Below are 22350 nucleotides of genomic sequence, written 5' to 3' on the forward strand. Positions count from 1 at the left end.
TAAAAATAAAGCCTCTTTATTGGTACCTGTAAGCTCAGGTACAAGGTGTTCCCACAAGCACACAGGCTGGCAAGGCCTCCTGGGCAAGGGGCAGGCCCAGAGCCTGCGTTTCTTGGCACAGACACAGAGAGAAATGGAATAAATTATAGTTCTGACACTCAGGGACAATGTAGAAATTATGATGCAAAATTAAACATTAGCAAACAAAGGGTATAAAAACCCTCAGGAGCCACCCCTCGCCAACTGGCCTCAGGGCATGGGCAGGTGGGCCACGCTGAAGTGCAGTGCCCAGAAAGCCCTGAGATAATAGTCTGGGGCATGGTTCGCGCCCCGAGGTAGGCCCTTTGCCCTCTCTGGGCTTCCTGTTTCCTCCTTCCCCCTCCTACATCCCTGGGCCTGGAATAAAGGCTGTGGCCTTTGGGAAGGGGGAAGATGGAACAGAGGGCAGGAAGTGGAGGGGGCAGGGTGGGGCAGAAGGGAGTTTTGGTCACAGCTGTTCAGCCCAGGCTCTCCCCCTGCCTAGATGATGTCCTTGGCCAGCACCTGCCCACAGAGCCATCTAGGAGCCAGGCAGCAGACATAGATCACAGAGCTCAAATCCACACCTAGTCTGCACCAAAGCCCAGGCAGGGCAAGGTGTAGGACTACAAGGCAAAAGGGGCTCTTGAGGGCCTGTGCCCACCCCACCCCTGGCATTACCCACCAGCCAAAGAAGTGCAACCAAAGCCTCCTCAATCTCCAAATAAATTATGGAAATAAATTATAGTCTTCACAGTCCAGTGGATTTAGCCACCCATGGGTCTAGGGCTCAGGGTGGCAGAAGCCACCTGATTTCAGCCCTGTCTCACCGTCTTTGGGCTAAGGAACATCACGCAAAGACCGAAAAGTGGTCTGCCAAGCTCCAGAGGAGCCACATTTTCTCCTCTTCCAGGCTCACGTTGTGGAGATAGAAGAGCAAGCTGTGGGTGTGGGGGGCCGGGCAGCTGAAAGGGGAAGCCCCCTCCCCCCAGTCCTCTCTTCAGCACAGAAAAGTTAAAACAAATAAATAAATCCAGAGAATTGTTTGAAAACCAGGAGTGTGCACATGGCACCTGTGGGTGAGCCAGCCAGTGGGAGACTGTTACGCAGACTCTGGGGAGCCCCATAATTACAAGAAAGCAGCAACAGGTCTCTTGGGGCTGGGAAAAGACATCCTGGTCCTCACACCGGCACAGGCTCCATTAGAGATGCTGGGACAGTGTCCTCAAACTGGCTGTCAATAAAGGGATCTAGGGCTTCGGCGGCTGGCTCGGAGAAGCCCATGAGGGACTCCAGGAAGCAACTGCTGGCATCCCCAGGTGGAGACAGGCCAGGCAGGGGGAAGTGAGGTGCCTCGATGTTGTCCAGGCTGTCAGACACCTTCTGTGATGTGTAGTGAGGCCCCAGACTATAATCTGGCAGAGCCTGGAGTAACTCAAAGGAGTCACAAGAAGACAAGCTGAGATCCACTGAGCTACTCCGGCCAGCGTCCATGCTGGGTGGCACTGAGGTGCCAGGAAGGCTGCCTTCCCTTGACCCTTCAAGGCCACCATTTAGGAAGCAGCTGGCATCCAGGTTGGCATTCTCATCCAGGACGCCTGATGTGAAGCTACAGCCAGAATAGCTGTGGGTCCAGCTGGCCAGGCCACCAGGGTCACTAGTACCAAAGATGTCAGCTGGATGGAAGCAGCTGAGGTTGTCCAGGTTCCCCACGCTCCCTTCCTCCTCTTCCTCCTCCTCCCCACCGAAGTCAGAGTCACTGAAACTCAAGATGCGTGCCAGGCTGTCATCATCAACGCCAGGCTGGAAGCCAGGGCCAGGCAGGCCTGGGTGGGTGGGGCAGTCAGGAGCCTCACTAGTGCCCGATGCTGATGAAGATGCTGTAGAAGAATCAGTCATGTCGCTGCTGCAGCTGTTGTCTCCCAGCTCATTGTTCATGGGGGGCTTGGCCAGTGGGAAAGTAGGGACCAGGGCCTCCTCACCAGGGCTGGGTGGGCTGCCCTGGGCAGGGGCCTCCAGCTCCCTAAAGCTCTCAGCCTCCTGTTCCAACTGCAGGCGGGTGAGTGTGTGGATGAAATGGGTCTGAACTCTTGCCTGATTAAATTCCACACGGCCCATGGGGTTCTCACAGCCCTCCCTGCAGCAGCCACAGGGGAATGCTGTGTGGTCCATCTGCAGAGAAAAGTAGAGGTACAAGTGAGGGTTCTGTGGAGTGCAAAGAAGTCCCCACGCTCAGGATCCCCATCCCAGTCCAGCCACCACACCTGGCACTTGATGCCTGCCAGGCTGCAGCTGCAGGTCTCAGGGTCGCAGATCCTATCGCAGTGACAGCCACAATCCTCCCGGGATTGGCGCAGTGCCTGCAGCTCCCGCTTCTCCTCCCGATCGATCCTTCGCACACCTGAAGCCCTCAGCAGAGCTCGACGTCGCCGGGCTGGGTAGGGCTGTAGGAAGCTCACTTCTTCCAACCGGCCACCTGCCACAGCGACTGCCAAGTCCTCCTCCACAGAGGCGTCATCAATGGCATCCACCACAGGTGGCAGCCCTGCCTCTGCCTGGGGTACCCCAGCTGCCGAAAGCTGCATCCACAGGAAAGAGGGATGTAAGAAGCACAGACATGGACATGGGCTTAGCCCTACTGTCACTAGACAAACCCTCCCCAAGTGCTTACCCCCCCACTACTCGTGCTTAATCTGCGATGGGCACTGTGTGTCAGACAGTGAACAGGACAGCCAAGAAAACTGCCCTCAGGGCATTTGAAAAAAAAAAAAAGAGATATCCTACTCATGGCATTCCCTAGATCATGGACAGACTCCCTTTCCTAACCAGACAGATACGCACCCCCTCCAGTTCATATCAACTTCACATCCCCCTCTCCAAAAAGTTCAGATTCAGGTATCATGCCCCCAGCCCCTGCAGCAAATAGACACGAGCCCTCCTCTGCGCCTCCTGTTGCAGACAACCCAGGCAACAGGCTCCAATCAAGCCAATCACCAGGCCCACAGGCCTGTTTCCCCATAACCATAATGAGCAAGTCAGCACCCACCCCTGGTACGCCCACCCCTCAAGGTTAGGACTCCAGGAGCTGCCTCAGGAGGTGCGCCACGGAGAGGACTCTCTCTACCTTCCACTGCAGCATCTCCAACTTCTCCTCTTTCAAGCGCTGGCGGAGCTTCTCGTGCCGTGCACGGGCTTGCTCCTGCGCAAACTCAGCCAAAGAGAAGCGACGGCAAGCACTGTGGCGAAGGGCCATACCCAGAGTACAGCCACCACGGCTGGGCACACTGGTGAAGCCCTGGCAGCGGGGGAAGTAGAAGACGGTGATCCCATCAAAGGCTACACGGCCTGGGCGCTCCCGGCGAGCCCGCTTCAGGATAGACAGGGCTAGAAAGCAGGCAAAGATGGGCTGGGGATTAGTTTTCAGTGAGGCACAACTTACCTCCAAAAAGATCATGCCAGACTGCCCTCCCGCCTCCCACCTTTTCCCTCCTCCCTCTCCACCCATTTTGAAAAAAGAAATGTGAATTTAGGAGCCTGTGTGGTTGGGACTGGAGCGGCTGAAACTGAATACCACACCCATGTCAGAACTGGCTTATTGTTATTTACCAGTCCAAATGACAGTATTCGTAAGATTAAACATCTTTCCTATGTTTATTAGCCATGTACAGGTCCTTTGTACAGTTTTCTATTGTTTTTTATTGATTTGTAGGATTTCTGTGTTTTGCAACAGGCTTAAAAAGGCTTTCCCTTTACAAGTTAATGTTTATTGATTAGTAAGCTATGTACTGGTATTTTCATTAGGTTGAACCATAGCAAATTACCATGTAATGGTCAAATATTGGAAATTCCATATATTTCAACTTACTATATTAATTTTGTACCCAGCTACCAGAGGGAATTCCCTTCTAAAAGGTTTTCTGTTTATACTGTTAGATTCCATGTGCTAAAAATTATATTCTTTTTATGTGTAATGCACAGATATATACCTACAGTACATAAAAAGGTAAACAGCACATCTATTGTATTAAAATTTCATGGTGGGGGATAATTAAGGAGAAAATGTCTAAATAGGCTTCCTGGGGAACAATAATGAAAAATAAGGTCCAGAAACACTGCTCTAGGGCCATGTTCATCAGTCTGGAATCACAACTATACAAGCTTGAAAATAACCAGGAAAAACCCCTTTTCACTATGTTCAGGCAAAATGGACAGCATTTTGACAGGAGAGGGACCGGCTTGACAGGCCCCGTGGCAGAGAAGCATGGGGCGGGCGGGGAACTCCAGCAGTTCCATTTGTAGGACGGTAGGGTGCTCATTGGAGAAACGAAACTGGAACAGAAGGGAGGGGCCAGACCGGGAAGGCCCTGAGAGCACTCTGCAGAGCTGCATCCCGGATGTCATCACTCCCAAGGTCAAAGGTGAATTAGCTGGGCTCAGGTGCCCCTGGACAGTGGACACTGAGTGACCACTATATTATAGCTCATGAGAGCTACCGCCATGGGGACCTAACCACCAGAGGCCAAAGGCATTTGGTCAGGGACTTCTAAATTTCATCTTTCAGGAAGGCAGGCAGGTGATGGAGTTCCCAGGGGAGGGAGTACTCACGGGTGAAACTTCTGGGGCCGCAGAAGTCACGGTCAGGCAGGGGCATCTGATCCCAGGGGCCTTCCTCCTCTGAGTCCCAGGCACGGGAGACAGAAGAGCTTGGGGAGCAGGAGCGAGACTGGCACCCAGAGGAAGAGGAGGAGGAGGAGACCGAGGAGTTGTCCTCATCCAGCTGGTCAAATTTCCTCTTCAACAGCCCAGTCATGGTGGTGCCGGACGTGCTCTGGGGTCTGGGGACAGACAGCCTGGAATAGGAATGAGAAGGCTCTAAGTGGCAGGCAGGCAGCAGCAGGTGGACTTCCAGCCAGGATCATCATCCCTCCCACTTACCCTCCAAGGCATCCCAGACCCTGGCCTCTGCCCTCCAGCCCTGCCTGTGGAGCTCTGTGTGGGGGAGGGCACAGTCTCCAGGAGGATCTCTGCACAAGACACAGCACCTCCCTCCCTCCAAACTAATGTGCAAATCCACAGCCTGATGCTTCAAACTCCCACCTCTGCCCAAAGCCTTCCCAGGCACCAGGCACCTTCCCCACTACCTCCTACAACACACACTTACATACATACACAAAACACACACACACACACACACACATGCATCCACACCAGCAGGGGAAGGAGGCAGACAGACCAACAGATGGACTGACAGACCTCAGCCTGGTCTCACTCATTCCCCGACAGGAATCCTGGCGCTGACTCACAGGCTGGGTGATTCACACAGCTTGCATCTGTGTGCCTGTGTGTGTGTGTGTGTGTGTGTGTATGTGTGTGTGTGTACGCCCTACAGCCCGCACAGCCCGCACGGCCCTGGTATGGTGGCTCTGCTTCCTCCTCCTCCTCCTCCAGCACATCCAAACAGGCACGCCACTCTGCACACAGGCAGGGCTGCGGGCCCTTGCTCCAGGCTAGCCAGGCACTCTGGGGAACAGGCTGGCTTTGACGTTGGCCTCCATTCCTAGACGGAGTAGTTTCTGAGCCCTTCCCCTCCCGGTGTGGGAGCTTCTCAGACTTTCCCTTAGAAACCCCCGCTCCACTGTCAAGAAGTCTCCTGCCTCCAGGCCTGTGTGACCACAGCCACTAAGGCTGTCTCTTTAACATCTCATTTGATCCTAATGTCCAAAGTCTCTCCTGTCTGTGGCTTCGTGACATGGAGCACCCCACAACACAACACTGTCTCCCAAGTGAGAGTCTCAGCCCTCAGCAGAAGCATAACCAGAGACTCCCACAGCTGGCTGGCCTTATCCAAGCAGAAGAGACTTGGGGCTCATTCCCTGGAATGCTTCAGCAAATAAGGGTCCTTCCCAAGGTTTGGCAAGCCCCAGAGGACTCAATCCCAAAGGCTGAGTACAGCTACCTTGTGTCTGTTGCTCCAGCTGGGCCTTCGGGGAGGTCACCAGGGGGAAAGGGAAAGGAAGTTGAAGCTGAGGCCGAGGCCCCAGTGCTGGGGAACCCTTCCCCCACTGCCATCACAGGAAATGAGAGAGAACAGGAAAAACCAACCAGAAGGCTGTCTTGGTCTCCTCTACTCAGGTGTCCTTTCCAAACACTCCTTTGCCCTCTTCCCAGCCGCCTACAAAGTCCCCGAATCCTGTAGAGTTTGCTGTCAACCTTACTAACTGGATAATGTTTACCCCAGGGACAGCCTCCCCTAGGCAAGCGTGAGAGAAGCAAGAAAATCTCCCTCCCCAGCCAATCCCCCACCCTGGGCCTGGGGGAAGACTCACAGATGTTTCCGGGGGCTTCTCCGTGGGTAGTTTCTCAGGCTTGGCACCCCCCTCCCAGGGTCAAACCACAAACAAAAACAACCCAGCTCCCAGCTGACCAGCAGGTTCTCCCAGGAGGTGGGGGATTCATGACCCAGAGGCAGGCATACTCACATGTACACACATGCTCAGACAACACGGAAACACACATATGGACAAACAACACCCACACATCCTGTCCCCATCGCATCCTGCCAAGAGACCCCATCCTTTCCCCAGTTCCAGATGCCATCTACAGGGCCCTGAATGCCTCCTTCACCACACATCCAGCCTGAGATCCCCCAGGACCCACTGCCCACTTGTTATCTCCGCCCAACCATCCCCTAGAAACATAAAATTCTGCAGGCCCCAAATCGAACCCCTTGTGTCTGTTCCCCACCCCCCATGCCATCTGTTCCTCTTCCTGTGTTCCCTATCTTAGTAACAGCCCCACCACCCACCCAGTCACTCAAGCCAGAAACCTGCAGTCATCCTCAACTCCTTCCTCTCTCTTCCTCCATCTATATCCAGGCACGCCATGCCTGGGAGTTCATGTAAATCCGTTTAATCCACACAGAGCCAGGAACAGACCCAGGAGGTATCATGGAGGCCACGTGGCCGTGTTAAGAGCTTCGGCTCCAGGACCAGACTGCCTGCTTTTGCATGGAGGCCACGTGGCAGTGTTAAGAGCTTCGGCTCCAGAACCAGACTGCCTGCTTTTGAACTCTGGCTCCACTGTTACTTGGCTGGGTAATCCTGGGCAAGTTCCTTAACCTCTCTGTGCCTCCAATTCTTTGTCTTAAGACCTCATAGGGTTGGGGGGTTTAGAAGAATCAACACATGTCACATGTTCTTAGATTAGTGATAAGTGCTCAGTGAATGTGTTATTCCACACTGTTTAAAAAAAAAAAAAAAATGAGCTCCAGCTCCTGGATGCACACGACACAGATGCATCTCACAGACATCATGCTGAGTGAAAGAAGGCAGACACGAAATACATGCAAATGTTCAAAAAAAAAGGCAGAACTACTCTGTGATGATATAAGTCAGAGCAGTGGTTCCCCAGGAGAGGGAGAAGGACACCCTGGAGAGAGTCATGAGGGAAATTTTCTGGGGTGGGAGGTAGGAAGGGCTGGGGGACCTGTAAAAGTTCTATGTTGATCTGCATGGTGGTTAAATGAATGTCTAAAATTGTAAAAATTCGTCTTATGGACACTTAAGATTTATATACTTACGCATTTTATTTAGGTTACTATCAATTTAAAAAGTTCACTAACCTTAACATGTCTCTGTCCCCACAGTGGCCACCCCATGTCCCTCTACTCCTGCCCTCTTTCCCCAGCCATTCTTGATCCTGCAGCCAGAATGACCTTCTTAAACCACACATTTACCTGCCACTCCCACGCCTAGAACCACTCTATAGCTCCCCTTGGGGCATTAGGATCAAGTCCAGAATTCAAGAAGCTGAAGCTGACCTGGCCACTGCTTCCCTCTCCCCACCTTGCTCTCTTTACTCCAGCTGAACTGGCAGTTCCCGTAATGGCCATGTCCCTGCTCACCTCCTGGCCTCTGCAAAGCTGGAACAACCCAGCCTTATTCCCTTTCAGAAAGTCATCTTTCAAGGGGCTTCCTGAATCCCCCACTCCTTCCTCCTGCCTTTCTGTGCTCCTGCTATGGACTGAATATTTGTATCCTACCAAAATTCTTATGTTGAGACTGAATCCCCAGTGTGACGGTATTTGGAGGTGGGCCTTGGGGTAATCAGGAGATGAATGACACCTTATTAGCACCTTTATAAGAAGTGACACAAAAGAGATGGTCTCCCTCTCCAACATGTGAGCTCAGACCCAGCAAGAAGGTGTCCATCTGCAAGCCAAGAAGGCAGACTTCATCAGGCTGACTAGAGCCTTGATCTTGGACTTCACAACCTCCCAAAGTGTGAAAAATAAATCTTTTGTTTAAGCAACCCAGTCTATGGACTTTCCATTATAGCAGCCCAAAGGAAAACAGCTCCCAAAAACCCTGGTATTTCCCTATCACAGACTATATCTGATCAGACTGCAAGGGCCTCATTGCTCATCTGCCTCACACTGAGGGCATTTCTCTCTGGCTGCCCATGTGCCCATGTCTAGGACAGAGTCTGGCATAGAGAAGGCACCTGATAATACCAGAGGTAAGCAGACCAGCCCTGCATATCGGGTATAGACCCAACTGCACAGGCAATCTTACCCACATGAGGCTGCTGAGGGCGACTGGTCAGTGTGACCTTCTCCTGCTCCTGTCACAGTTAATTTAAGAGGGGCAGGAGGAGAGTCACATGTCTATCCCCCAGCTGTGCCAGAGGGTACAAGCAAGAATGGTGCTCAAAAAGGGTGGCTCTGGTGGCAGGAGAGGGAAGCTCAGGCTGCAGGCAGGTGCCAATGTAGGCAATCCCAGGAGGCTCCCTGGTCCCCCAAGAGGAAACAGATGGAGAGAGATGTCAGGAAAGCAGGCTCAGATACGCACTGCGGCTCTGCCTAAGGGATCGCCACAGAAAGAGAACTTAAGGTGAGGAGGTTATGACCTCCAAGCCTACAGACAGGGAAACAGAGACACAGGGAAGCTACGGTCATGCTGCAGGTTCTAGTGATGAACAATCCCCTCCAAATCTGCAGAGCGGGAATGAAATGAGAAATTACCTCCTCCCTGATACTCCTCTGGAGAGGCGGGGGAAGTGCCCCTGGTTCTCATGTTCCTCTGTTCCACCTCGGAATCCAGAGGCTAAGAGGCAGAGGCAGGAGATGAAACAAAAAGACTGAGCCAGAGACAAGGAGAGGCCAAGAGGGAATGAAACATAGTGAGAATCTAAGAAAAGTGTCAGACAGTGAGTCAGAGGTGGGGGGAGGGGCCCTCAGCAGCTACCCAGGAATCAAGATCCTGACCATGGCAGTGTTCCCAGGGTGAGCACAGCCCCCTCCCTAGGGTCCTGGAGGAAGGAAAAGCAGTTCCCAGGAGCTGGCTCAGACAGAAATACCACACCGCCGAGGAACCCCAGAGACAGGCCCTGAATCTGAGAGCCAGGCTTCTTCTGGGATCTGAGCCCTGACAATCAGGCAGCCCTCCTGCCACCACACACAGGCACTGACAACCCCCCACTCAACTGGCCACAGTTATCCACACGCTCAGGTCACACTGTGCAAATCCAGGAAAGGCCACCTCACCCCTGGGCACCAAGTAACCAAAGGCTGTTTTTGAGAAGTGGGGGCGGGGCTTGAAAACGTCACAGCAACTCCTCTGTCCACCTCAGCAGTCCTACCAGTGCCCCAGGCCTCAACCCAAGCCAGTCTTAGGGAGGGGGCACCTTTAGCTGCCTCCATCCCCCTTCAGGAATCTGAAGAATGTGTCCTTTAACCTCAGAGCCCCAGGCCTTGGCCAGTCCCCCCAAAACACTTGGGGTCACATGACCCCTGTCCCTCAGGAACTTCCTGGGAGAAGGGGAGGGCACCTCCCAGCACCTCTAGCCCCCACTGAAAAACCAGCCTGGGTGGCCCTGAGAGGGCAGACCGAAAGCCTTGGCACCTCCTCCCCAACCATCCCTCTGAAGGAGAGCTGGGGGAGGGGACGGCTCCTCGGCTTTGGCCTCCAGGACCTGGCACTGGATAGGTGCCAAATGTTTGCTGGCTACATGAGGCACTTGTTCCTGCAGAAGGGAAACTGCACCTGACAATGACTGCTTCCTCCACCTAAGTGGGGCCTTCTTCCCTCTCTCATTCATTCATTCAACAAATACACACTAAGCTCACATATGTGCCAAACACTGTGGCAGGCACTCGCGCATGCAGGGAGCAAGACTTATACAACTGCTGCCCTCTTGAAGCTCTGAATTGAGCAGGGAGGACAAATAGAGTGGGGTGCTGGGATGGAGGGTCTGAAGGGTGGGACAGGGTACGGCTGGGGTGAAGGTAGGTCTCTCCGAGGAAGGAATGTAGGCAGAGTTCCAGATAGGGGCTCCGCATGGGTAAGGAACAGGAGGAGGGACCAGCACAGTGTGATCGGAGGAGGGGCAGCCCGCGAGGCTGAGCCTGGGCTCCAGGGCAGGCTTTACCTCGAGGGCACGGCAAGCCACAGAAGGCTTAAGTAGGGAGTGACAATGCCAGATTTGCATTTTAAAAACGTGGCTCAGCACCGGGAGTGGAGGGGGTGTGACCGGTTGGAGGTGCTGCCAGGGCCAGGAGAGATGACAGGTCAAGGGCATAGGAGAAAGGCAGATACCAAGATGTGGAGAAGGAAGAGGGCAGGGCTGTCAAGGATTTGGATCGGGGGAGGTGACGAGCTACTCTCCAAAAGGCTTGAGACTTCTGGGTGGAGGTGCTGGGTGGGCAGCAGGAGACGGGGAGGAACCCTCTGGTGTCAGGAGTGTGGGCTACGGCTGTGTGTGTTTGTGCCGGGAGCGGGAGTGACTAAGTGTGTGACTATGGCTGTGGTGTGGGCATCTCCACAGTGCGTGCCTGTGAATGGGCCCCGGGGAGGAGAAACTGAGGAAGGGGAGGAAGTACGTGCTGCGGAAGGAGGAGAAGTGCGTGGGAGAGAGTCTACGTGTGCCTGCGGGTGGCCGGTGTAGCTGAGCCCGTGACTCACAGCAGTGGCCTCTGAGAGTGACGGCGACTGACAAACAGGTGAGCCTACGACACAATCCCTCCCTCCCGGGGTCCGTGACTCACCGCGCCTCCCTCTACGCTCATCCCTCCACTCCCTCCCTGACCCCCGCCGGCCGGGGGCGCCCGGCACACGCCGCAGCTCCCGCAGCCTCCCCGAGGGGGGAGCCCGAGGAGGAAGGCGACAAATGTCACCTGCTCCGGCCACGCGAGGAACTTCTGAAAAGTTCTCAGGCAACTGGGTCAAAAGGAAACTCACCCGCGGACGCACGCCCCCGTCGCCTCGCCGCTCGCGCGCAAGCCCGGCTCTGTCCCCACTCGCGCCGAGCTCGGGGAGCCGTGACTTCTCTCGGGGTTACCGCGGCGGGCGGGGGAGGGGAGCAGAAAACCTGCGACTCCCGCCGGCCGGGCCCCCGGCCCCCGACTCCGGCCGCGGCACGCCGTCAGAGCCGGGCAGCTCCAGCCCCCGCGCCCGCTCAGGGTGCCGGGGAGTGAACGGCAGGAGGCAGGAGCGGCAGTGCCACTCGCGCTGAATGCCCCCTCCCCAAAGTCCCGTCCTGCCGGGCCCGAGGCCCCTCGGCGCTCACCTGCAATCCGGACGCTCGCGGAGGACAACGACGCGACCCGCGTCCCGGCCGGGGACGCCCCCTGCGCCGCGACTCTGTGCGCTCGGCCCGGCAGCCGTCGGTCCAGCCGCCCCTCGCTCTGCGCGTCCGGCAGCGGCGGCGGCGGCGGGAGACTGCCTGCGCCCAGCCCCGCCCGCCGCTCCGCCCTCCTCGTCAGTGGAAAACTCCGGGGCTCACTGCGCTGACGCACGCCGGGCCTCCAGCCAGGCCGCCCGGCAGCCCCGCCCCGGAGGCGCCGCCTCCTCCCCCGCCTGGAGCCTGGCGCAGCGGCCTGGGGGCCTCCCTGCGGACTGTGACCCGGCGACTGCGCCTCCGCCGCTCTCCGCCCCCAGCCCTCTCCCGCCAGCGCCCTCCCCGCCCCGCTTCCAGCACGGTCCCTAAAGGCGCGGACGACTCAAGCCGGCAGAGCCGAGCGTAGAGATCCCCACCTCGCCCCACCGCCCCAGTTTACAGATGGGTAGACCGAGGCCGGGAGCACCTCGTAACTCCGCAAGGCCACGGGCTAGACAGTGGCAGAGCCGACGTCTCCTGTACGCTCTCCACCCCCACCCCTCTAGAGGGAGTTTATTTTATTCCAATCTAAAAGTTCCCCCCTCCGCCCCCAACCTACCACCCACCCCCAGATCCGCCGGAAAAGTAAACTGTGGCTGGAGAGGAATCTGGGGTGTGTGGGGAGCGGGGAGGCAGGGAGCGGGAAGGATGGATGTAATCAGTGGGCCTGAACTTCATTCCTGCCCACGGGCCAAGAGACCCTTCCCTGCAGAAGTTCCAAACTAGGGGTTCTTAGAACTAGCTTCCCCACTCCCACCTCAACCTTCCCTTAAAAAAATAAAAAGGCTGGTTTCTTCCGGGCCAGATCTTGGCCACTTAAAATGGTCCACTGCCTTCTCTGCTCCCGCCAAGGCCTTTCCTGACTCGGGGCCAACCCTCCCGGTACGACATGCCCCGGCAACCAAGTCCTGGCCTGGGAGCCCACCCTCAGCCCCACTTCCCAACCGCAGGTACGAGTCTACTCATCACCTCGAGCGTTTCCACCCTCACGCTTTTACTGCAGCCGGTCTTCTCGACTGGAATGCTCTCCTGCCCTCTCTCTGCTTACCAGAATCCCAATGCCTTTAAGGGCTCAGCTTGCACTGCCTCCTCCAGGGAGCCTTCGTGGGAGCCTGACCCTCCCCCTCCCAGTCCTGCTCCCGCTGCATTCTGGGTTCTTCTGACTGTCCTAGATGAATGCTGTCAGCCACTAGCCCAGCCCTCAGGATTCCATTCTACCTTCCTCCAGGTTGGGGGTGGGGGTGACCTCCTGGCCTTCTTGGATGGCATCTGCGGTGGAGTTGATGGTGAGAGCCCCTCTTCAGCCACAGATGTGCATGTAGAATGGCAGGGGTCTGCTCCACTTTACCTTTCCTGCAAGAACAACAGGAGGAAAGCAGGTTGGGGGAAGATAAAGGCCCTGTCCTTCCGCATGCATTGAGTGTGTACCTGGGAGCCTGCAGGCGGAGGTGTCTGGGCAGCTGGAGCCAAGCTTCCAGTGGCTTCCCAGTACCCTCCTGATGAAGTCTCAACTCCTTGGGGCCTACAAAGCTGAAATAATCGGCCCTTTCTCACTTTTGCAGTCTCACCTCTCTCTTCATACCCTCATTTACCACTCCCTTCCCCCCCCTTCAATGCCATTAATGTGTGTACGTGTCATTTTGTTGGTTTATGTGCTTTTTTTTTTTTTTTTCCGAGATGGAGTCTCACTCTGTTGCCCAGGCAGGAGTGCAGTGGCTCAATCTCGGTTCACTGCAACCTCCGCCTCCTGGGTTCAAGCGATTCTCCTGCCTCAGCCTCCCGAGTAGCTGGGATTACAGGCATGCGCCACCACGTCTGGCTAGTTTTTTTTGTATTTTTAGTAGGTATGGGGTTTCTCCACGTTGGCCAGGCTGGTCTCGAACTCTTGACCTCAGATGATCCACCCGCCTTGGCCTCCCAAAGTGCTGGAATTACAGGTGTGAGCCACCGCGCCCGGCCAGTTCATGTGCTTTTAACGTTAGTCCTTCTGCATTTGGTTTTATTTTATACATGAGGTATGATTCTGTCGCAGCCTCACCTGTACACTTCCACCTCATACCCCTGATGACTGCTCTCCAGCTCTGTTGGCCAGTTGTCAGTTCTCAGAGTATGTCCTGTTTTAAACTTTCAAGGATGCTGATCCCACCTTGCACCTGCCTTGCACCCACTTAGTTGTGTGGTTTCCTTGTGCATTTCCTTGTGCTTTGTCTGTGAGCAGTGGGAGGGCAGGAGCAATGTTGGACTTGATCACTGCTCTATCTCCAGTGCTTGATAAGAACTTGTTGAATAAACTAAACATGACTAGCAAATGGGTAAAGTTGCTAGGGCTCAAGGAGAGGGCAGGGCTGGAGGTGGCAGTGGATGGATTTTTAACACACAGCTAGCACACTGAAGCTATAGTGTAGCTGAGAATGCACAGGAAGGAGCTTAAAGGCTACAAAGCTGGGTGTCTGTTGCTAGAGGTGACTCCACTCTCAGGGCTTTAAGGGGTAAACCCGCAGGCCACCCACCCTCCACCACCCACCTCAGACCTCAGCTGTGCTCTCACTGTGGCTGCGGGCTGCAGACGTTGCTGTTCCCAAGGAATCCTTTCCACTGCCTGCCTTCCTGCCTGCCTCTAATCTCCAGGCCAAGTTTCCAGCAGAAGAGAGGCTTCTATGATACCCAGAAGTGATCTAGTTTTGTTTCTGTCCCTGACTGTCTCTTTCCCTCACTTTCTGGCCTTTAGCTTTTCAATCTGTAAAATGGAGGCATTGGACAAGAGAACCCTCACCAGCTTCAACATTCCTTGACTCAGTTTCTAGAAGATGCTGCCTGCTTATCAGGGAACTGGGCAGGGTTGGGCACTAGAATTAATGAGGGTCTCTCATGCTGCCTACGTTTGCATCCTGTTGAGTTGTATATTGGGGAAACCAGACGAGTCAGAAATCAGGGTAGGGAGTTTGCTGGTGAGGGCTGGAGTGGCGCTTAGAGTGGGGAGCCCAATGGAAGAGAAAGAGAGAACAAAGGAAAATACAGGAGAATAAGAAGAATCAAGTGACGTGTGTTCTCCAGAAAAGCATCTCCCCGTCCTGGGATGGACTCACCAGATGTTCCCCAGATGTTACTGATGATGGGAAACATCTCCCTCTGGGATCCCAAGTAAACTCTTCTTATTCATGGGGAAAAGAAAGGTCTGTTCCAAAGCATTAAGGGTGGGGTCTAGAGCAGCATCCATCTGTGACTATGGCACATATATAGGCAGAAACACACCCACATATCCTCAAGGAATTTCTGAATACTTGGAAGAGTCCTAAGTTTCTCCAACATTCAGCATCCATGAACCACCAATTTTAGGTAAATAAAAATTATCACAAGTTTTAAATAAAATTTTTTTAAATTAAAAATTAATGCTTTATTCCCATTAGTAAAGCTAATCTCAAAGGAAACTAATAATATTAAATATGACAAAATTGAGAATTGACCAGATCCGTTGTAAATTGTTCAGGCTGGAGTGTAGTGGCATGATCTCAAGTCACTGCAACCTCCGTCTCCCAGGTTCGAGCAATTCTCCTGCCTCAGCCTCCCAAGTAGCTGGGACTACAGGCACATGCCACCATGCCTAGCTAATTTTTGTATTTTTAGTAGAGATGGGGTTTCACCATGTTGGCCAGGCTGGTTTTGAATTCCTAACTTCAAGTGATCTGCCCACCTTGCCCTCCCAAAATGGTGGGATTTCAGGCGTGAGCCACCATACCTGGCCCATCGTACATTGTTGATGGGAGGGTGAATTGACACAATCAGGGAACTGGGCAGGTTTGGGCACTTGAGTTAGTGAGGGTATAATTGGAAACTATTGGAAATAATTCCACTATTCAGTATATACCCAGGAGAAACAAGGCGCTTATACACACCAAGAGACATTTAAAATAATGTTATAGCAGTTTTATGTATGTTTTCAGCCCATAACTGAAAACAACACGAATTCTACTAATAGGTAAGTGAAAATTAATTGTTATCATATAATGGGATATTACACAACAACGAAAAATAACGAGCTATTGCTTCATACGATACTATGGTTTGAATGTCCCCGCCAAAACTCAGATTGAAATTTAATTGCCATTGTGTCAGTACTGGGAGGTGCGACCTTTGAAAGAGGAGTAACTATAATTCCACTTATTTTATTAAATTTTAAAGCAGGTGAATTAAAGCACAGTGATAGATAATGTTGCCTTGGGGATATTGACTGGGAAGGGGCACAAGAGCCTTCTGGGATGCTAGAGATGTTCTATATCTTGATCTGTGTAGCAGTTGGACAGGTATATACATGTGTAAAGATTCAAGTTCCTTACTGAAGATTTGTTCACTTTAAGTTTTACCCTGATTTTTTTTTTTTAAAGAGAGGAGAAGTTAGTGTCAATCACAGTGCCATTATTGTGAAAATGGAGCCAGTGTTTTCAGCCTTTCACCGATAATCTACATCTAGACCAGTGAGGTATATCTGGGGTCCACAGGTCAGGTTCAACTGTTTGGTTTCTCTTCATCTAAATTAGTGTGATGGTCTGGAGAGTTTTCCAACACCTACAGCCAATTATCTGATTCTCCAGACACCAGCTGGGTGTTCAACAATTCAACTTTAACACTAACTTCCCAGCATTAGTGCAGACCCCACAGCTTCAGGGCTCAGTCTCACAAGACTGACCATTCCTCTCAGACACCAGTCACAAGTTCCAGGCTTATTGTACTTCTGACCAACCAGCTATAAAGCTGGAGTTCCCACAGCCCCCTCCTAAAGTTCAATAATTTGCTGGAATGGCTCACAGAACTCAGGGAGACGCTTTAGTTACCAGTTTATTATAAAGAATGCAAACGAAGAGCCAGACGACGAGAAACAGATTAAGGTTCAGAAGTGTCTGGAGCACTGGGGTCTGCTTCCCTCTTGGTATGTGGATGTGTTCACCAGCCTGGAAGCTCATTCCGTCTTATTGTTCAGGAGTTTTTGTAGAGCTTAATCTCTAGTCCCCTTCCCCCTCCTGGAGGTTGATGGGTAGAGTTGAAAGTTCTAGCCTTCTAATCCCTTGGTCTTTCTGGTGATCAACCTCATTCTGAGGCTAAGGGCCCCACCCTTAATCACTTTATTATAATAGCATAGACTCAGGTGTGATTGTAAGGGGCTCCTGATGGATAAATCCTGTCACTCAGGAAACTCCAAGGGAAATTCCAAAGGAACTCTGAGCAAGAAAGTAGGGACAAAGACCAGATATATTTCTTATTTTGCCACAGATGGGTAAGAATTTTATTCCATTCATGACTCTCAAGTGCAAGGAGCTTCAAGTTATTTTTCATCTAAGAGTTTCATAGTTTTAGCTCTTACGTTTAGGTCTTTAATCCATTTATAGTTAAATTTTATATGATAATAAGCTAAGGGTCCAACTTCATTATTTTGCATATGAATATCTAGTTTTCCCAACATGATTTGTTAAAAAGAATTCCCCCTCCCCCAAATCAAATCCGAGCAGCTAAGTCTCAAGGGGAGCTTCCCCTTCAGTCAGCAGAGACACTCTCCTGTGTGCCATCCCAACCCCACCCCTCTGAGGTCTATCTGAAGAATGGGGATGCCTTCCCCTGTCTAGGATGACCTAGCTGTCTGATTTTCAGTCCATACTGTCTGCTTGTGGCTAATATTCTCCTTCTCCAAGCCCATGGATCCACTGAGCATAGAAGATGGGCCCTGCTATTTCTGAGCTATCCTTGGTTGTGCAGAGGGAAGGGAAGACTCTTTTATGAGGCTGCGAATAGGGACTAAGTTCCTGGCTTCTTAGGGGGCTCAAACATTCCCCTCTGGACAACCCCACCCAAACTACCTCCTCCTCTCCATAGTCCTGAGGGGAATTCTGCTCCTCTCCACCTTGCCTTTTACTCTTCCCCCTCCTCAAAGGAATTCCCCTCTCTAGGCCTTCATCTTGGTTGGAGACCCACCCCAGCCCTCTCAACAGGCTAAGGCAATTGTTCTCAAGTTCTAACGCCTGACCATCAGCATCAGCATCACCGGAGAAGCTGTTAGAAATGCAGATTCTTAGGTCTTTCCTAGACCTACTGAATCAGAAATTCTGCAAGTGGGGCCCAGCAACCTGGGTTTTAACAAGCCCTCCAATTGATTCTTATGCACATCAAATTTTGAGGCCCACTGAGCATTGCATTGGAAAGCAAGAATGCAGAAAGGAGACTGTCTTAAAGCACATTTCTTGAACATTCTTATTTATCTAAATTGGAAGACTTTTGTGCATAGATCTGTAGGTTAAAAATCCAAGCAGTTGAGTTCTGGGTCAAAGGAGTTTGAAAGACATTGCCAAATCACCATCCCAAAAATTGCACCAATTTCACTCTCAACCAGTAGTGTCTGAGGGTGACTGTTTCCCAACACCCTCCCTGGCACTGGGTGCTATCAAACTGTGAATCTCTGCCAATCTGATAGGAGAAACAAATCTTACTGTTTCAGTTGGCATTTCTCTTTTTACGAGTGAAGTTGAAGCTTTTAAAAACCATTTCTATTTCTCAGTAAACTGCTGGTTTATATTCCTTACTCATTTTGTCTTGAGTTGCTTTAGGTCTTTGAGGATGAAGGAGGTGAGCTTGTCTGTCTGTTACACAGTAGCACTTATTATTGGTTTGTCTTTCACCTTGCTTTATAGAATGCTTTACCGTACAGAAGTCTTTTTTTTTTTTCTTTTTTTTGAGACAGAGTCTCGCTCTGTCGCCCAGGGTGGCTGGAATACAGTGGCAAGATCTTGGCTCACTGCATCCTCAACCTCTAGGGTTCAAGCAATCCTCCCACCTCAGCCTCCCAGGTAGCTGGGACCACAGGTGCACACCACCACCCCCAACTCATTTTTTTTTTTTATTACTTGTAGAGACCAGGTCTTGCTATGTAGCTAGGCTGGTCTTGCGCTCCTTGGCTCAAGCAATCGTCCCACCTCAGCCTCTCAAAGTGTTAGGATTACACGTGTGAGCTTAAATTTTTATATAGCCACATTTCATAAATGTTTACTTTAGGGATCCTGGATTTTATTTGCTGAATTCTTTATCATACTATTATAAATAAATTTACTTATTGTTTCTCTATGGTCTTATGGTTTTATTTTTAATATATATCCTTTATCCACCTGGAATTTATTTTGATTTAGGGAATAGTGTTCCCATTATATTTTTCCCCCAAATGGGTAGCTAATTTTACTACCACCTTTCTCTACTAATTTAGAATGTCACCTTAAACGTAAACTGAATTCTGATATGTGTTGGGATCTATTTCTGATTTTCTATTCTGGTTTACTGAGTTGTCTATTTCACCTTTGGATACCAAATTGCTTTACAAATTATAATTTCATAATATTTTTATCATCTGATACATCTAGCCTCATCTTGTTGCTTTTCTTTTTCAGGGCTTTCCTGGCTCTTATTTATTTCCTCATTTGGTTGTCATATAATTTTTGACAAGTTCCTCACCTGACTAACAAACAAATCCTATGGGTATTTTGATTAGAGTCACAGTGAGTAAATGGATTGAGAAAGCACTGACATTTTTTATTTTTAAATTTTTAAAATGTGGAGTTGAGGTCTCACTATGTTGCTCAGGCTGATCTCAAATTCCTGGCCTCAAGTGATCCTCCCTAAGTTCTGGGATTACAGGAATGAGCCATTGTGCCCAGCCAACACTGACATTTTTATAATATTGAGTCTTTCTATTCAAAAGCACAGAATAGGCCGGGCACAGTGGCTCATACCTGTAATCCCAGCCCTTTGGGAGGCTGAGGCAGGTGGATCACCTGAGGTCAGGAGTTCGAGACCAGCCTGGACAACATGGTGAAACCCCGTCTCTACTAAAAATACAAAAATTAGTCGGGCGCAGTGGCTAATGCCTGTAATCCCAGCACTTTGGGACGCCGAGGCGGGTGGATCACCTGAGGTCAGGAGTTCGAGACCAGCCTGGCCAACATGGTGAAACCCTGTCTCTACTAAAAATACAAAAATTAGCTGGGTGTGGTGGCAGGCACCTGTAATCCCAGCTACTCGGGAGGCTGAGGTAGGAGAATCGCTTGAACCCAGAAGGCGGAGTTTGTAGTGAGCCGAGATCGCGCCATTGCTCTCCAGCCTGGGGGACAAGAATGAGACTCCATCTCAAAAAAAAAAAAAAAAAAAAAAATTAGCCAGGCATGGTGGTGGGTGCCTGTAATCCCAGCTACTTGGGAGGCTGAGGCAGAAGAACCACTTGAACCCCGGAGGCAGAGGTTGCAGTGAGCTGAAATCACACCACTGCACTCCAGCCTGGGTGACAAGAGGAAGACACTGTCTCAAAAAAAAACAAAAAACACAGAGTAGTCTGGCTACAGTGGCTCACACCTGTAATCCCAGCACTTTGGGAGGCCAAGGTGGGAGGATCACATGCATCCAGGAGTTTGAGACCAGCCTGGACAACATAGGGAGACCCTGTCTCTACAAAAATTCGAAACTTTGTGGTGTGTGGTGGCATATGCCTGTAGTTCCAGCTACTCGGGAGGCTGAGGTGGGAGGATCACTTGAGTCCAGAAGGTTGAGGCTGCAGTGAGTCATTATCATGCCACTGCACTCCAGCCTGGGAGACAGAGTGAGACCCTGTCTCAAAACAAAACAAAAAACAAAAGCCTAGAATAGAATGTTCTCTATTATTTTATTTATTTTTATTTTTAGAGACAGGATCTCACTTTGTTGCCCAGGCTGCAGTGCAGTGGTGGGCTCATAGCTCACTGCAGACTCAAACTCCTGGGCTCAAGCAATCCTCTTACTTTAGCTTCCCAAGTAGCTGGGACTACTGGCGTGCACCATCACATTTGGCTAATTTTGTTTGTTTTTAGCAGTGGTCAGGCTTCACTATGTTGCCCAGACTGGTCTTAAACTCCTGAGCTCAAGCCATCCTCCCGCTTTGGCCTCCCAAAATGCTGGGAGCACTTTGCCCAGCATTCTGTATAATTTTAATATTATCTTTGTAAAGGCCCTTATATGTCTTTTAAATATTTTTCTAAATATTTTGTCTTTTTGATTGCCATTATAACTGTAATTTCTATCGTATATTTCTGATAGATTTTATATATATACATATATTATGTATATAAAGTAAAGTAAAGGAGAGCTACTGGGTTTTGTATATGAACCTTGGAAACTGCCATCATCTTTATTTATTTATTTTTTTGAGATGGGATCTTGCTCTGTTGCCCAGTGGCACAATCTTGGCTCACTGCAACCTCTGCCTCCTGGACTCAAGTGATCCTTCCACCTCAGCATCCCTAGTACCTGGCACCACAGGTGCTCGCCATCATGCCTAGCTAATTTTTGTATTTTTTGTAGAGACAGAGTTTCGCCATGTTTCCAGGCTGGTTTCGAACTTCTGGGCTCAAGAAATCCACCTGCTTCAACCTCCCAAAGTGCTGGGATTACAGGCATGAGCCACCGCACCCGAGCCATCCTGAATTACTGCCTCTCTAATAGTTGGGAATTTTCCAATCACATCATCTACATATAAATTTGCTTCCTCTTTCCAATATTTACATCACATTTCTCTTTTTTGTCTAATTACACTGGCTTGAACTGCTAGAGCCATGTTAAATGATAATGATCATGATGGCTGCTTTCACCTTGCTTTTTATTTTTTGGCTTAAAACAATAGAAATTTATTCTCTCACAGTTCTGGAGGCCAGAAGTCCTAAGTCAAGGTGTTGGCACTGCTGTTTCCTTCTGGACACTGTGAGGGAAAACCATTCCCTGCCTCTCTTGCAGTTTCTGGTGGCTGCCGGCCCTCCTCGGCACTCCTTGGCTTGTGGCCGCGTCCCTCTGGGCTCTGCTCTGTCTTCACGTTGCCTTCTCCCCTGTGGGCCTTTTCTCCTCTTCTCTTCTGAAGACACTTATCATTGGATTTAGGGCCCATCTCAATCCATGATGATGGCATCAAGATTGTTAACGGAATTACACCCACAAAACTCCTTTCATACATTCACAGCTTCCAGGAGGACATTATCTTTGGAGGCACTACCTTCAACCTGATGCTTTTTCCTGAAATGACTTTTTTCTTTTTACATTTGGCTACTGTGGTATAAACTGTTGTCCCATCCGAATGACCTGACATGCACCTGAAACATGTTTGAAAACGCAACGTTTGTTAGTGCAGTCAGCTCTCCTCTGGAACTTTTCAGCTAATCTGTCACCTTACAGCTCTTGGTTTAATCCTCCTCTTACCTGGGTATAGGATGTGCCCACAATGTCAGGCCTTTTCGTTCTCTCTCTATATATAATTTTTTCTTTCAATAGCTTGTGGGGTCCCAGGGGGTTTTGGTTTCATGGATGAATTATATAGTGGGGAAGTCTGAGATTTTAGTGCATCTCTCGCCCAAGTAGTGTATATTGTCCCAATATCTGTCACCCCTTTTCCACCCCCCTACTTCTGAGTCTTCAAAGTTTATTACACCATGCTGTTTGCCTTTGTGTACCCACAGCTTAGCTCTCACTTATAAGTGAGAACATACAGTATTTGGTTTTCCACTCCTGAGTTACTTCACTTAGAATAATGGCCTCCAGCTTCATCCAAGTTGCTGCAAAAGACATTATTTCATTCTTTTTTACAGCTGAGTAATATTCTATGGTATATATACCACATTTTCTCTATTCACT

At 50.9% G+C, this 22350-nt stretch overlaps 1 protein-coding gene and 1 long non-coding RNA gene across 9 annotated transcripts in view, besides 13 other annotated features; one reads left to right on the plus strand and one right to left on the minus strand.

Moving 5' to 3' along the window:
• Positions 1 to 12787, minus strand: CSRNP1 (cysteine and serine rich nuclear protein 1). Of its 7 annotated transcripts, none has more exons than XM_047448723.1 (5): positions 12722 to 12787; positions 4624 to 4868; positions 3143 to 3402; positions 2283 to 2597; positions 1 to 2190 (listed from the first exon to the last, which is right to left on the minus strand). In XM_047448723.1, exons 2-5 carry the CDS (start codon positions 4826 to 4828, stop codon positions 1201 to 1203), a joined length of 1770 nt encoding a protein of 589 aa, XP_047304679.1. In that variant the 5' UTR covers positions 4829 to 4868; positions 12722 to 12787; the 3' UTR covers positions 1 to 1200. The 7 variants fall into 7 exon arrangements, with proteins under 7 accessions (XP_047304679.1, NP_001307489.1, NP_149016.2 ...); NM_001320560.2 differs by having other exon boundaries at positions 12643 to 12787; NM_033027.4 differs by lacking the exon at positions 12722 to 12787 and adding an exon at positions 11584 to 11737.
• Positions 4221 to 4440: an enhancer, noted in NCBI's record as "active region_19692". NCBI's record gives its function as "activates an Ori minimal core promoter by ATAC-STARR-seq in GM12878 lymphoblastoid cells {active_cell/tissue: GM12878}" and the evidence as "EXISTENCE:reporter gene assay evidence [ECO:0000049][PMID:35858748]".
• Positions 4221 to 4941: a biological region, named in NCBI's record as "H3K27ac-H3K4me1 hESC enhancer GRCh37_chr3:39187593-39188286".
• Positions 4248 to 4941: an enhancer, noted in NCBI's record as "H3K27ac-H3K4me1 hESC enhancer chr3:39187593-39188286 (GRCh37/hg19 assembly coordinates)". NCBI's record gives its function as "activates a minimal SCP1, AML or CMV promoter by ChIP-STARR-seq in naive H9 embryonic stem cells {active_cell/tissue: H9 hESC(naive)}" and the evidence as "EXISTENCE:reporter gene assay evidence [ECO:0000049][PMID:30033119]".
• Positions 4942 to 5635: an enhancer, noted in NCBI's record as "H3K27ac-H3K4me1 hESC enhancer chr3:39188287-39188980 (GRCh37/hg19 assembly coordinates)". NCBI's record gives its function as "activates a minimal SCP1, AML or CMV promoter by ChIP-STARR-seq in primed H9 embryonic stem cells {active_cell/tissue: H9 hESC(primed)}" and the evidence as "EXISTENCE:reporter gene assay evidence [ECO:0000049][PMID:30033119]".
• Positions 6934 to 6993: a silencer, noted in NCBI's record as "silent region_14219". NCBI's record gives its function as "represses an Ori minimal core promoter by ATAC-STARR-seq in GM12878 lymphoblastoid cells {active_cell/tissue: GM12878}" and the evidence as "EXISTENCE:reporter gene assay evidence [ECO:0000049][PMID:35858748]".
• Positions 7144 to 7283: an enhancer, noted in NCBI's record as "active region_19693". NCBI's record gives its function as "activates an Ori minimal core promoter by ATAC-STARR-seq in GM12878 lymphoblastoid cells {active_cell/tissue: GM12878}" and the evidence as "EXISTENCE:reporter gene assay evidence [ECO:0000049][PMID:35858748]".
• Positions 10062 to 10922: an enhancer, noted in NCBI's record as "H3K27ac-H3K4me1 hESC enhancer chr3:39193407-39194267 (GRCh37/hg19 assembly coordinates)". NCBI's record gives its function as "activates a minimal SCP1, AML or CMV promoter by ChIP-STARR-seq in naive H9 embryonic stem cells {active_cell/tissue: H9 hESC(naive)}" and the evidence as "EXISTENCE:reporter gene assay evidence [ECO:0000049][PMID:30033119]".
• Positions 10081 to 10130: an enhancer, noted in NCBI's record as "active region_19694". NCBI's record gives its function as "activates an Ori minimal core promoter by ATAC-STARR-seq in GM12878 lymphoblastoid cells {active_cell/tissue: GM12878}" and the evidence as "EXISTENCE:reporter gene assay evidence [ECO:0000049][PMID:35858748]".
• Positions 10911 to 10970: a silencer, noted in NCBI's record as "silent region_14220". NCBI's record gives its function as "represses an Ori minimal core promoter by ATAC-STARR-seq in GM12878 lymphoblastoid cells {active_cell/tissue: GM12878}" and the evidence as "EXISTENCE:reporter gene assay evidence [ECO:0000049][PMID:35858748]".
• Positions 10911 to 12030: a biological region, named in NCBI's record as "H3K27ac-H3K4me1 hESC enhancer GRCh37_chr3:39194268-39195127".
• Positions 10923 to 11782: an enhancer, noted in NCBI's record as "H3K27ac-H3K4me1 hESC enhancer chr3:39194268-39195127 (GRCh37/hg19 assembly coordinates)". NCBI's record gives its function as "activates a minimal SCP1, AML or CMV promoter by ChIP-STARR-seq in naive H9 embryonic stem cells {active_cell/tissue: H9 hESC(naive)}" and the evidence as "EXISTENCE:reporter gene assay evidence [ECO:0000049][PMID:30033119]".
• LOC101928263 (uncharacterized) overlaps positions 10930 to 22350 on the plus strand; it is a 21468-nt gene continuing 10047 nt past the window's right edge. The window contains exon 1 of one of the 2 annotated variants that reach the window (XR_245209.4): positions 10930 to 11017. This is a non-coding gene — a long non-coding RNA (uncharacterized LOC101928263). Of the gene's footprint in view, positions 11018 to 11859; positions 12624 to 22350 lie in introns of those variants that run through there. The other variant, XR_940735.3, reaches the window with a different exon arrangement.
• Positions 11001 to 12030: a silencer, noted in NCBI's record as "silent region_14221". NCBI's record gives its function as "represses an Ori minimal core promoter by ATAC-STARR-seq in GM12878 lymphoblastoid cells {active_cell/tissue: GM12878}" and the evidence as "EXISTENCE:reporter gene assay evidence [ECO:0000049][PMID:35858748]".
• Positions 12562 to 13061: an enhancer, noted in NCBI's record as "H3K27ac hESC enhancer chr3:39195907-39196406 (GRCh37/hg19 assembly coordinates)". NCBI's record gives its function as "activates a minimal SCP1, AML or CMV promoter by ChIP-STARR-seq in naive and primed H9 embryonic stem cells {active_cell/tissue: H9 hESC(naive and primed)}" and the evidence as "EXISTENCE:reporter gene assay evidence [ECO:0000049][PMID:30033119]".

This window comes from Homo sapiens, chromosome 3 (assembly GCF_000001405.40).
Source record: "Homo sapiens chromosome 3, GRCh38.p14 Primary Assembly".
Lineage (NCBI taxonomy): Eukaryota > Metazoa > Chordata > Mammalia > Primates > Hominidae > Homo > Homo sapiens.